Raw genomic sequence first — 12,575 nt, 5'->3', positions numbered from 1 at the left:
GGGAGGCCAAGGCAGGTGGATCCTGAGGTCAAGAGATCAAGACCATCATGGCCGACATGGTGAAATCCCGTCTCTACTAAAAATGCAAAAATTAGCTGGGCAGGGTGGTGCGCACCTGTAGTCCCAGCTACTCGGGAGGCTGAGGCAGGAGAATCGCTTGAACCCAGGAGGCAGAGGTTGCAGTGAGCCAAGAATGCACTACTGCACTCCAGCCTGGCAACAGAGCAAGATTCTGTCTCAAAAAAAAAAAAAAAATTTGCCAGGTGTGGTGGTACACACCTGTAGTCCTAGCTACTTGGAAGGCTAAGGCAGGAGGACTGCTTGAACCCAGAAGGTAGAAGTTGCAGTAAGCCAAGATCATGCCACTAATCCCCAGCCTGGGCAACAGAGTGAGACTATCTCAAAAAAATAAAAAAGAAATCACCAGTGATTATTTCTCATAAAAAAAAATCCATGTGGCTCCAAAGAAGTCAGAAAACTAGACTCCCAAATGAGTGCTCTAGCTGGGCCTGGTGGTTCATACCTGTAATCCCAGCACTTTGGGAGGCTACAGTGGGAGGATTGATTGAGCCCAGTTCAAGATCAGCCTGGGCAACATGGCAAGACATCATCTCTAAAAAACGTTTTTCTCATGCCTGTAATCCCAGCACTTTGGGAGGCTGAGACGGGCAGCTCACGAGGTCAGGAGATCGAGACCATCCTGGCTAACATGGTCAAACCCCGTCTCTAATAAAAATACAAAAAATTAGTCAGGCGTGGTGGCAGGCGCCTATAGCCCCAGCTACTCGGGAGGCTGAGGCAGAAAAATGGCGTAAACCTGGAAGGCGGAGCTTGCAGTGAGCCGAGTTCGTGCCCCTGCACTCCAGCCTGGGCGACAGAGCAAGATTCCGTATCAAAATTTTTTTAAAATTAGCCGGGCATGCTGGCATGCACCTGTACTCCCAGCTACTGCAGAGGCTGAGATGGGAGGACTGCTTGAGACTAGGACGTCAAAGCACTACAACGAGCCATGATCATGTCACTGCGCTCCAGTCTGGGTAACAGAGCAAGACACTGTCTCAAAACAAAACAAAACAAAACAAAAAAACTGCTCTACCATCCCTAGAGCAGGTATGGTTCAAGATGGCCAGGTCTGTATTTCAGCCAGCAGTAAGAGGGGAAAAGGAAGGGACAGAATGCCCCCCACCCCAATTTTTTTTTTTTTTTTTTTGAGATGGAGTCTCGCTCTGTCGCCCAGTCTAGAATGCAGTGGTGGGATCTCCACTCACTGCAACCTCCACCTCCTGGGGTCAAGCAATTCTCCTGCTTCAGCCTCCTGAGTAGCTGGGATTACAAGCACCTGCCACCATGTCTGGCTGATTTTTGTATTTTTAAGCAGAAACAGGGTTTCACCATGTTGGCCAGGCTGGACTCGAACTCCTGACCTCAAGTGATCTGCCCCCCTTAGCTTCACAAAGTGCTGGGATTACAGACATGAGCCACCATACCCGGCCCAAATGCCCTTTCTTTTAAGAGCTTGATTCAGAAAAGGCACAAGTCACTTCTGCTCATATCCCATTGAACAGATCTCAGTTACGTGGCCACCTCCATCTACAAAGAAGGCTGGAAAATGGAGTCTCCATTCTGGGAGGGCAACTCCTAGCTAAAAATTGAAGGCTCTATTGCATTAGAAGGAGAGAACAGATATTGGGAAATAACCAGCGGTCTCCACCACAGGGAAAAGATAGGACGCAGGGAACGCCGGGGGGACAGGTGAAACAGACAAGTGATATTAACCAGGAGTTCCCTCCCACCTGAGTTAAACTACGCATAGTGTTGAAGTTAATGTTTTCATTTTCTCCCATTTCACCAAAGGATAAACCTTTGCTGTTCTAGGGATAGGAAAAGAAATAATAAGCAGTAATAGCTGCCTGGATATGCCGCATAGGGCTGGAGACAAAGGACTCTAATTGCCCTGCTTATTGGCTGGGCACGGTGGCTCACGCCTGTAATCCCAACACATTGGGAGGCTGACGCAGACCTCACTTGAGGTCAAGAGTTCAAAAACCAGCCTGGCCAACATGGTGAAACCTTGTCTCTACCAAAAACAAAGAAAAATAAGCCAAGTGTGGTGGCAGACACCTGTAACCCCACCTACTTGGGAGGCCAAGACAGGAGAATTGCTTGAACCTGGGAGGTACAGGTTGCACAGTGAGCCAAGATTGTGCCACTGCACTGCAGCCTGGGTGACAGAGCAAGACTTCATCTCAAAAAAAATAAATAATAAATAAATAATAAAAATACAAAAGTTAGTGGGGCGTGGTGGTGCATGCCTGTTGTCCCAGCTACTCAGGAGGCTGAGGCAGGAGAATTGCTTGAACCCAGGAGGCGGAGGTTACAGTGAGTCAAGATCGCACCACTGCAGTCCACAGAGTGAGACTCTGCCTCAAAAAAAAAAAAAAAAAAAAAAAAAAAAAAATATATATATATATATATATATATATCCCTGCTTATAGATGTTCATTTTTTCCATTTATTTGAAAAGCAGAATAAACGTATGTTGTAACAAATCAATGTAAACATAAAGTATCATCCTGCTACTATCAATCATATAAAGTCATACTAAGACATTCACATGCAATATGATTATTAATATCGTTGGTCCCACCTACTGGGGAGGCTGAGGCAGGAGAATCACTTGAACTTGGGAGGCGGAGGATGCAGTGAGCTGAGATTGTGCCACTGCACTCCAGCTGGAGTGACAGAGCGAGACTCCATCTCAAAAACAAACAAAAACACCCTTAGGTAATGATCACCAATGACTGCTGACATCTTTTTGAAAAAAATAAGAAAACCAGACACCCTGTCCATCTACATGGCTGTATACAACATCACCTATAAGTAATCCTGGAAAAAAAAAAGAACTTGAGTCTAAGCCTCTTGATCTAATTAACAAATTACAGGACATACAAGGCAGTAGAAAAATGTCAAATGACACCACAATGAGACAATCTGCAAAATCCAGGGTGTAACAAATTCTACACTTTTTTCTACAAATAAAATGCCAACAGAGAGAGGGAGGGAGGAAAGGAAGAGAGGGAGAAGGAATCTATGGATCACAAGAGAATGAAGGAAAATATCACTAGTGATATATGGATCCTATTATCTAAACAAGAGCTCACTGAACTTTCCAATTCATGTGCTTCCTCTTGTTAACCGCACTGGCTCATTCCGCGTCTTCTGTGCCATCCTGTTTCCACGTCTCCACTGGGAAAAAAATAACAGGAAAAATGGCATTTTATCAGGGGCATGTACTAGGAAGATGCTTAACATTGTCTCCATGGTTTGATATTTTATATTATATATAACGAATATATATATATTTATAATATAAAATATATTTGTATGTAAAATATAAAAATATAGATATATAAAATATAAATATAAAATAGGTCAGGCACGGTGGCTCACACCTGTAATCTCAGCACTTTGAGAGGCCAAGGTGGGTGGATCACCTGAGATCAGGAGTTCGAGACCAGCCTGGCCAACATGGTGAAACCCCCGTCTCTACTAAAAATACAAAATTTACCTGGGTGTGGTGGCAGGTGCCTATAATCCCAGCTACTCTGGAGGCTGAGGCAGGAGAATCGCTTGACTCAGGAGGTGGAGGCTGCAGCAAGCTGAGATAGCGCCATTGCACTCTAGCCTGGGTGACAGAGTTAAGACTCTGCCTCAGAAAAAAAAAATTATATATGTAATGTAAAATGTTATTTATATGTAATATATTGCATAATATATTTTATATGTAATATAAATGTTTATATATATTACATATATTGGCTCACTGCAACCTCTGCCTCCCAGGTTGTAGTGATTCTCCTGCCTCAGCCTCCCAAGTAGCTGGGACTACAGGCACACACCACCACACCCAGCAGATTTTCATATTTATATAAAAACATATAAATACAAAGCTATTTATATATAAATTACAAAATATATTTTATATGATATCGTTTGTATTATATATTTTATATAATATGGTTTGTATTATATACTATAATACTGTATATTATATAAAATGTTTTATATTATAAAGATCTTTACATCATAGTTCATATTATAAATATATAGTTTATGTCATATGTAATATGTAACGGATAATATCTTTTTTTTTTTTTGAGACAGTCTTGCTGTCACCCAGGCTAGAGTACAGTGGCGCAGTCTCCGCTCACTGCAAGCTCCGCCTCCCGGGTTCACACCATTCTCCTGCCTCAGCCTCCTGAGTAGCTGGGACTACAGGCACCCACCACCACCCCTGGCTAATTTTTTGTATTTTTAGTAGCGACGGGGCTGCACCGTTTAGCCAGGATGGTCTTGATCTGACCTCGTGATCTGCCTGCCTCGGCCTCCTAAAGTGCTGGGATTACAGGTAGAAGCCACTGTGCCCAGCCACATTTTTTTTTTTTTTTGAGAGTCTTGCTCTGTCACCCAGGCTGGAGTAAAGTGGGGCAATCTGGGCTCCCTGCAGCCTCTGCCTCCCAGGTTCAAGTGATCTCCCCACCTCAGCCTCCCAAATAGCTAGCATTACAGACATGTATCACCATGCCTGGCTAATTTTTTTTGTTTGAGACAGAGTCTCGCTCTGTCACCCAGGCTGGAGTGCAGTGGGGCGATCTTGGCTCATTGCAACCTCTGCCTCCCAGGTTCTAGTGATTCTCCTGCCTCAGCCTCCCGAGTATCTGGGACTATAGGTGCACATCACCACATCCAGCTAATTTTTGTATTTTTAGTAGAGATGAGGTTTCACCATGTTGGCCAGGATGGTCTCCATCTCTTGACCTGGCAATCTGCCCGCCTCGGCCTCCCGAAGTACTGGGATTACAAGCGTGAGCCACTGTGCCTGGCCATTTTTTTTGTATTTTTAGTAGGGAAGGGGTTTCACCATGTTGTCCAGGCTGGTCTTGAACTCCTGACCTCGAGTGATCTGTGTACCTCAGCCTCGCAAAATGCTAGGATTACAGGTGTGAGCCATCGCACTGGGCCTAAAATACATATTATATATTACATATAAATAATACATTTTTATATTCCAGTGTTTTCCTTTTCACTTTTTAGAAGCAGGGTCTCACTCTGTTGCTGAGGCTGGAGTGCAGTGGCGCGATCATAGCTCACTGCACCCTCGACTTTCTGGACTCAAGAGATCCTCCCACCTCAGCCTACCAAGTATATCTGGGACTACAGGCGCACACCACCATGCCTGGCTAATTTTTGTATCTTTTGTAGAGGCAAGGTTTCACTCTGTTGCCCAGGCTGGTCTTACACTCCAGGCTTCAAGCGATCCTCCTGCCTCAGACTCCCGAAGTGCTAGGACTGCGGGTGTGAGCCACCAAGATGAATTTCTTGATTCCTCCAAAAATATAAGCCATGGAGGCTCCTGACTGCCTGGTGGCTGCCAATGTTTTTTCAACAACCCCCTGCCCTTTTTTTTTTTTTTTTTTTAATCATAAGGCAGCCTCCTGTCTCCTCTGCAGAGCACCTGTTTCACCTCTGTATACAGGACACCTCCAGTGAGCTTTGTCCCCTCATGGTAGCCCTGAGAGAGCAACTAACCCTGTTCTGCACCTGGGGAAACTGTAGCCCAGATTGTTTAGCCAATGTTCAGTAAGTTAGTGGCCAGGTAGTATATTAGTCCGTTCTCGCACTGCTATAAAGAAATACCCTTCGGCCAGGCACAGTGGCTTACGCCTGTAATCCCAGCACTTCGGGAGGCCGAGGCAGGTGGATCACGAGGTCAGGAGAGAGAGACCATCCTGGTTAACGCAGTGAAACCCCGTCTCCACTAAAAATACAAAAAAATTAGCCGGGCGTGGTGGTGGGCACCTGTAGTCCCCAGCTACTCAGGAGGCTGAGGCAGGTGAATGGCATGAACCTGGGAGTCGGAGCTTGCAGTGAGCTGAGATCGCGCCACTGCACTCCAGCCTGGGCAACAGAGCAAGACTCAGTCTCAAAAAAGAAAGAAATACTCAGTGGCTGACGGCTATAATCCCAGCACTTTGGGAGGCCAAGTCAGGCAGATCACTTGAGGTCAGGGGTTCGAGACCAGCCTGGCTAACATGGTGAAACCCCATCTCTACTACAAATACAAAAATTAGCCAGACATGGTGGCAAGTACCTGTGGTCCCAGCTACTCTGGAGGCTGAGGCAAGAGACTCGCTTGAACCCAGGAGGCGGAGGTTGCAGTGAGCTGAGATCACACCACTGCACTCCAGCCTAGGCAACAGAGTGAGACTCGGACTCAAAAACAAAAACAAAAAAGAATAAATAAACAAACCCAAGACTGGGTAATTTATGAAGGAAAGAGGTTTAATTGACTCACAGTTCCACATTGCTGGGAAGGCCTCAGGAAAATTACTGTCATGGTGAAAGGCAAAGGAGAAGCAGGCACCTTCTCAGGAAGCAGGATGGAGTGAGTGCAAGCAGGGGAAATACCAGTGCATATAAAACCATCGGACACCTCAAGACTCACTATCACGAGAGCAGAATGGGGGAAACTGCCCCCACGATCCGTTTACCTCCACCTGTCCCACTCTTGACACGTGGGGATTATGGGATTACAATTCAAGATGAGATTCTAGGTGGGGACCCAAACCCTAACCATACCAGGTAGGGACTAGAAATCTGCTTCCCAAACTCCTACTCCAATGCTATGCTCTCTGGACACTGTGTCCCAGTCCTGGAAGGAAAGAGAACAAGAAACTCAGATGGCCTGGACTGAGGGCAAAGGAGGGTGAGGCTGGCACTGACATCCTCAGAGGCTCCTGCAGGGTCGTGTGTATGAAACCCAAGCCCAAGCTTCATGCCCTGCCCCCCAAAAGCAGGGAATGCACACTGTAGCAAATGCTAAGCCAGCTCTCTAGCACGTGAAACAGTCTTGTTCAGAGACAGGAGAGGCTGCTCTCCAGTGGTTCTTCAAGGCTGCTTTCTCCCTGCCTAGTCTGAAGGATTGCTTTCTCTTTTCTGCATTTAGTATTTTTGGACTGCGGTTGACCTCGGCTAACTGACTGTTAGTAAGAGGGGAAACCACTGTAGTTCAAAACTCCAGTCTTGGTGGGGCGCTGTGGCTCAGGCCTGCAATCCCAGCACTTTGGGAGGCTGAGGTGGGAGGAGCACTTGAAGCCAGGAGTTCCAGACCAGCCTGTGCAACACAGCGACATCCCATCTCTACAAAAAATGTAAAGATTAGCCAGGCATGGTGATGTATGCCTGTTGTCCCAGCTGATTGGGAGGCTGAGGTGGGAGGATTGCTTGAGCAAACCTCCTCTAAACCATGAGTTCAAGACTGCGGTCAGCTATGATTGCACCACTGCACTCCAGCCTGTGCAACAGAGTGAGACTCTGTCTTAAAAGTAAATAGGCTGGGCATGGTGGCTCACGCCTGTAATCCTAGCAGTTTGGGAGGCTGAGGCAGGAAGATCATCACATTCCCACTTCTGTCCTCATCGCCCATCCCTCACCTCCCTTCTCATCCTAGAAGAGCTAAAGGATTGCTTTTATTGATGAACTGTACATTGTATGCGAACACACAGGACCTCAGCGTGCAGTTTGATGGGTTTAGACACCCATGTAAATGAAACACAATCAGGATACAGCAGTGTCCATGCTCCCAGAAAGCTCCTTCATGTCTCTTTTCACTCAATCCCCTTCCCCTTGGACTGCAAATAGGAAAGGTTCTGATACGTCCCAGAGCACTCAAACTTTCTGGGTCTCTCTGCCAGCCAGCGGTTCTGGGCAAGCCATCTACCCATCAGACCATCAGGCCCCTGCGAAACAGCAGTCACCGGCCACTTCCCTGAAGACACAAGTAATCATGCTGTCCACTCTGCTAGCTGTCACCATGAGGTCGCCCAGGTCAAGCAGCAAGTATACTTTTTTTTAAAAAAACTTCCTCTGGCCGGGTGCGATGGTTCACGCCCGTAATCCCGGCACTTTGGGAGGCTGAGGCAGGTGGATCACCTGAGGTCAGGAGTTCCAGCACTGGCCAACATGGTGAAAATAAAAAAAATTAGCTGGGCTTGGTGGCACACGCCTGTAATCCCAGCTACTTGGGAGACTGAGGCAGGAGAATCGCTTCAACCTGGGAGCCAGAGGCTGCAGGGAGCTGAGATCACGCCATTGTACTCCAGTCTGGACAACAGAGTGAGACTCCATCTGAAAAAAAAAAAGAGAAAGAAAGAAAGAAAGAAAAGGCAAACTTCCTCTGAAACTTTTCACACAAAGCTTATTCTTCCTTCTCTGTCTGCACCCAAGACCTCACGCTCAGTTTATCCATGGCTAAAATCTATGGCAAAGCCAGCCCTGATCAAGAGGGTGAGGATGCCTGTAATTACCTTAGCAACAGAACATGCTGTGCATTTGAATCACATCATCTCATCCCCATAGCAACACAGAATCGTAGAATCATGGTGCTCTGGAGCCAAGTGGCAACAGCGCTGAGTCCAACCTCTTAGATTAAAACAAAACCCAACAGAAACAAAGTCGTTGACAACTCAGATAGATTTCATAGCCTTGTACCTATTTTTTTTGTCATTTGGACATACAATGGAACTTTGATACCAATAAGATAGCAAGGAACATCCACTTGGGCTGCTGGGTTTTTGGCTGATTTAATCAGAGGCTCTGTCCTATGTTATTAGAAACAAAAAAGAATTTTTTGATTGATGGAGGTAGAGCGAGTCGGCCAGGGATGAACGTAGAGATGTTGATATCAGACACCACAGAGCTGTGGCAAGAATTCCTCATTCATTTATTAAACACGTCTTCATGAGATTGCATCCTTCTCTGCTTCTGAGGTCGGCGTGCAAAGAACGACCTTCTCTTTTATCAGCTGGGGACTGTAAAAGGGAAATATTTGCCGGGCGTGGTGGCTCACGCCTGTAATCCCAACACTTTGAGAGGCCGAGATGAGTGGATCACGAGGTCAGGAGATCGACACAATCCTGACTAATGCAGTGAAACCCCGTCTCCACTAAAAATACAAAAAAATAGCCGAGCGCCTGTAGTCCCAGCTACTCGGGAGGCTGAAACAGGAGAATGGCGTGACCCGGGGTGGCGGAGCTTGCAGTGAGCCGGTATCATGCCACCGCACTCCAGCCTGGGCAACAGAGCAAGACTCCATCTCAAAAAAAAAAAAAAAAAAAAAAAGGGAAATAAATATTTTCTCTGCAGTCTCCTGACACTAACTCCTGGCCTCAAGGAAGTTCTCCAGGGCAGAGGGTAACAATATGAAATGTAAACATGGGATGTGGGGGGGGGGGGGGGGTTGGATACCTCATCCTGATATCAGCTCTACCTTTTGGCTATGTCTTGGTCTAATTCAAAACCATGAACTCTGGAGCAGGGGATATCTCAGTAGCCTCCTTAGGAACATGCTACAAGCTGAGATCAACAGAGCAGGGGGCATTGGAGGTTGCACTTCAAAGATGAATGGGGGCCAGGAGCGGAGGCTGATGCGTGTAATCCCAGCACTCTGGGAGGCCCAGGTAGGTGGATCACTTGAGGCCAGGAGTTCAAGGCCAACATGGTGAAACCCTGTCTCTACTAAAAATACAAAAAAATTAGGAGAGCATGGGATGGCACACACCTGTGGTCTCAGCTACTTAGGAGGCTGAGGCACAAGAATCACTTGAACCTGGGAGGCGGAGGTTGCAGTGAGCCGAGATAGTGCCACTGAACTCCAGCCTGGGCAACAAAGCAAAACTCCATCTCAAAAAAATAAAAAAGATGAATGAATCCTCTCCAAGCAAGAAATGTCCTGGGGGCAGAAAAGCATCCATTTCTGCATCCTCAGCATCTAGCAGTTTCCAGCATATATCAGGTGCTGAAAAAAACTCTTTAAAAGTCCAGGCACAGTGGCTCACGCCTGTAATCCCAGCACTTTGGGAGGCCGAGGCAGGAGGATCGCTTGAGCCCAGAAGTTTGAGACCCATCTGGCACAACATGGTGAAACCCTGTCTCTACAAAAAATTAGCCAGGCATGGTGGCACATGCCTGTACTCCCAGATACCCAGGAGGCTGAGATGGGAGGATAACCTGAGCCTGGGAGGTCCAGGCTATAGTGAGTCGTAATTGAGCCACTGCACTCCAGCCTGGACGAGTGAGACCTTGTCTCAAAAACAGAACAAAACAAAACAAAAATCTTGAAAAAATAGACTGGGGGCCATGCGTGGTAGCTCATGCCTGTAAACTCAGCACTTTGGGTGGTCAGGGCCAGCGGATCACCTGAGGTCAGGAGTTCAAGACCAGCCTAGCCAACACGGCGAAACCTTGTCTCTACTAAAAATACCAAAAAATTAGCTGGGCGTGGTGGCACGCGCCTGAAGTCCCGGCTCCTCAGGAGGCTGAGGCACAAGAATCGCTTGAATCTGGGTGGTGGAGGTTGCAGTGAGCTGAGATCTGGCCACTGCACTCCAGCTTGGGTGACAGAGCAAAAGTCTATCTCAATTAAAAAAAAAAATATATATATATATATATATATATACAAACACACACACACAAATTAGCTGGGCATGGTGGCGGGCGCCTGTAATCCCAGCTACTTCGGAGCCTGAGACGGGAGAATAGCTTGAACTCGGGAGGCGGAGGTTGCAGTGAGCCGAAATAGCGCCAGTGCACTCCAGCCTGGGCAACAGAGCAAGATTCTATCTCAAAAAACAAAAAGACTGGGTTTGCCATATTGCCCACACTGGTCTCAAGCTCCTGGCCTCAAGTGATCCTCCTTGCTCGGCCTTCCAAAGTGCTGGATTACAGGCTGGAGCCACCATATCTGGGCCTGAAAAAACTATGTCCTCCTGTTACAGGAGCATATTTGACAGGCTCATTTAAATATCCCCACTTCCATCAAGAACTGACCAAAGCTACCAAGGGTCATGGGGGAGAAATCCACCAGCCTTATCAAACCCCTACAACCCTACGGTTTCACATATGGGTGGACCAAGTGCCTACAAACAGCCAGATAGGACTTGCAGTTTGGCACAGAAGGATCTTGGAAGTCACCACACTGAGCTCACAAGTAAAAAGCTGTACAAACTGAAAAGTCAACAACTCCTCTGAAATCCATCCGTGGAGGGAGGTCACAGGGCAAACTCCCCGCCGCAAAACTGGAGAGACAGGCGGATACAGAGAATTAAAACTTACCTGCTTAGAAACCCACGGGCAGAAGCCCCACACCGGACCCAGTGAAGAGGGGTGGGAAGAGCAGAAGGCTGAGGAGCTGAATTGCTGTGCCCGGCTGAAGAAGTCTGAGACAGAAACTCCCAGCAGGGCCGGGCGCGGTGGCTCACGCCTGTAATCCCAGCACTTGGGGAGGCCAAGGCGGGGGATCACGAGGTCAGGAGTTCTAGACCATCCCGGCTAACACGGTGAAACCCCGTCTCTACTAAAAATACACAAAATTAGCCAGGCGTAGTGGCAGGCGCCTGTAGTCCCAGCTACTGGGGAGGCCGAGGCAGGAGAATCGCTTGAACCCGGGAGGCGGAGCTTGCAGTGAGCAGAGATCACGCCATTGCACTCCAGCCTGGGCGACGGAGCGAAACTCCGTCACAAAACAAAACAAACCTCCGAGCGGACCCAGACAGGGCGCCCTGTGCTCTTCTGAGTTTTACCTACAGAGGCTCAACCAGGTTCTCAGAGTGAATATTAGAGAAAAATCCCCTCGTGCCTCCAGCAGGGGGAGGGGAAAAGAGACAAGCCCGGGCTTTCTGTTCTTAACAAGGCCAACCCTCAGGAGAAACTACTTAACCACAGCTGAACCTGCTGGGGCTTCATCAGTGCCTACCTGACCTGGGGGAAGAAAAATACCCAACTCCAGCTGGCCCTAGCCTTCCACCTGGAGAAAAGGAAAAACCCAACCCCAGTCCCCAGGAGCCGTCCTGTCCCGCCTCAGCGGGTGACTTGGGGTGTTAATAAGCACTTATGAAGTCCAGTCCAGAGGCACAGGCTCACTAAAGGATTAAGATCTGGCCGGGCACAGCCGGGCGCGGTGGCTCACCCCTGTAACTCCAGCACTTTGGGAGGCCGAGGCAGGCGCATCACGAGGTCAGGAGATCAAGACCATCCTGGCTCACACGGTGAAACCCTGTCTCTACTAAAAATACAAAAAATTAGCCTGGCGTGGTGGCGGGCGCCTGTGGTCCCAGCTACTCAGGAGGCTGAGGCAGGAGAATGGCGTGAACCTGGGAGAAGGAGCTTGCAGTGAGCTGAGATAGCCACACTGCACTCCAGCCTGGGCGACAAAGTGAGACTCCGTCTCAAGAAAAAAAGATCTGGCTGTGCACAATGGCTCATGCTCAGAATCCCAGTATTTTGGGAGGTTGAGGTGGAAGGATTGCTTGAGCTCAAGAGTTTAAGACCAGCCTGAGCAATATAGTGAGACCTCATCTTTTTTAAAAAATAGTAATTTAAAACAAAGATTAAAACCTGCTCAGAGGAGCATTATAGAAGGCTTCTCCTCCCACCACACCTTACCACCACTCTCCCCCAGGTCTATCTATAGCAGCTCCTTTTACCCAATAAATTATGTCCAGTTATCGGGAAAAAAA

The sequence above is a fragment of the Homo sapiens genome, chromosome 7 (genome assembly GCF_000001405.40).
Source record: "Homo sapiens chromosome 7, GRCh38.p14 Primary Assembly".
Classification (NCBI taxonomy): Eukaryota; Metazoa; Chordata; class Mammalia; order Primates; family Hominidae; genus Homo; species Homo sapiens.
Note: the sequence above shows the minus strand (reverse complement) of the source record.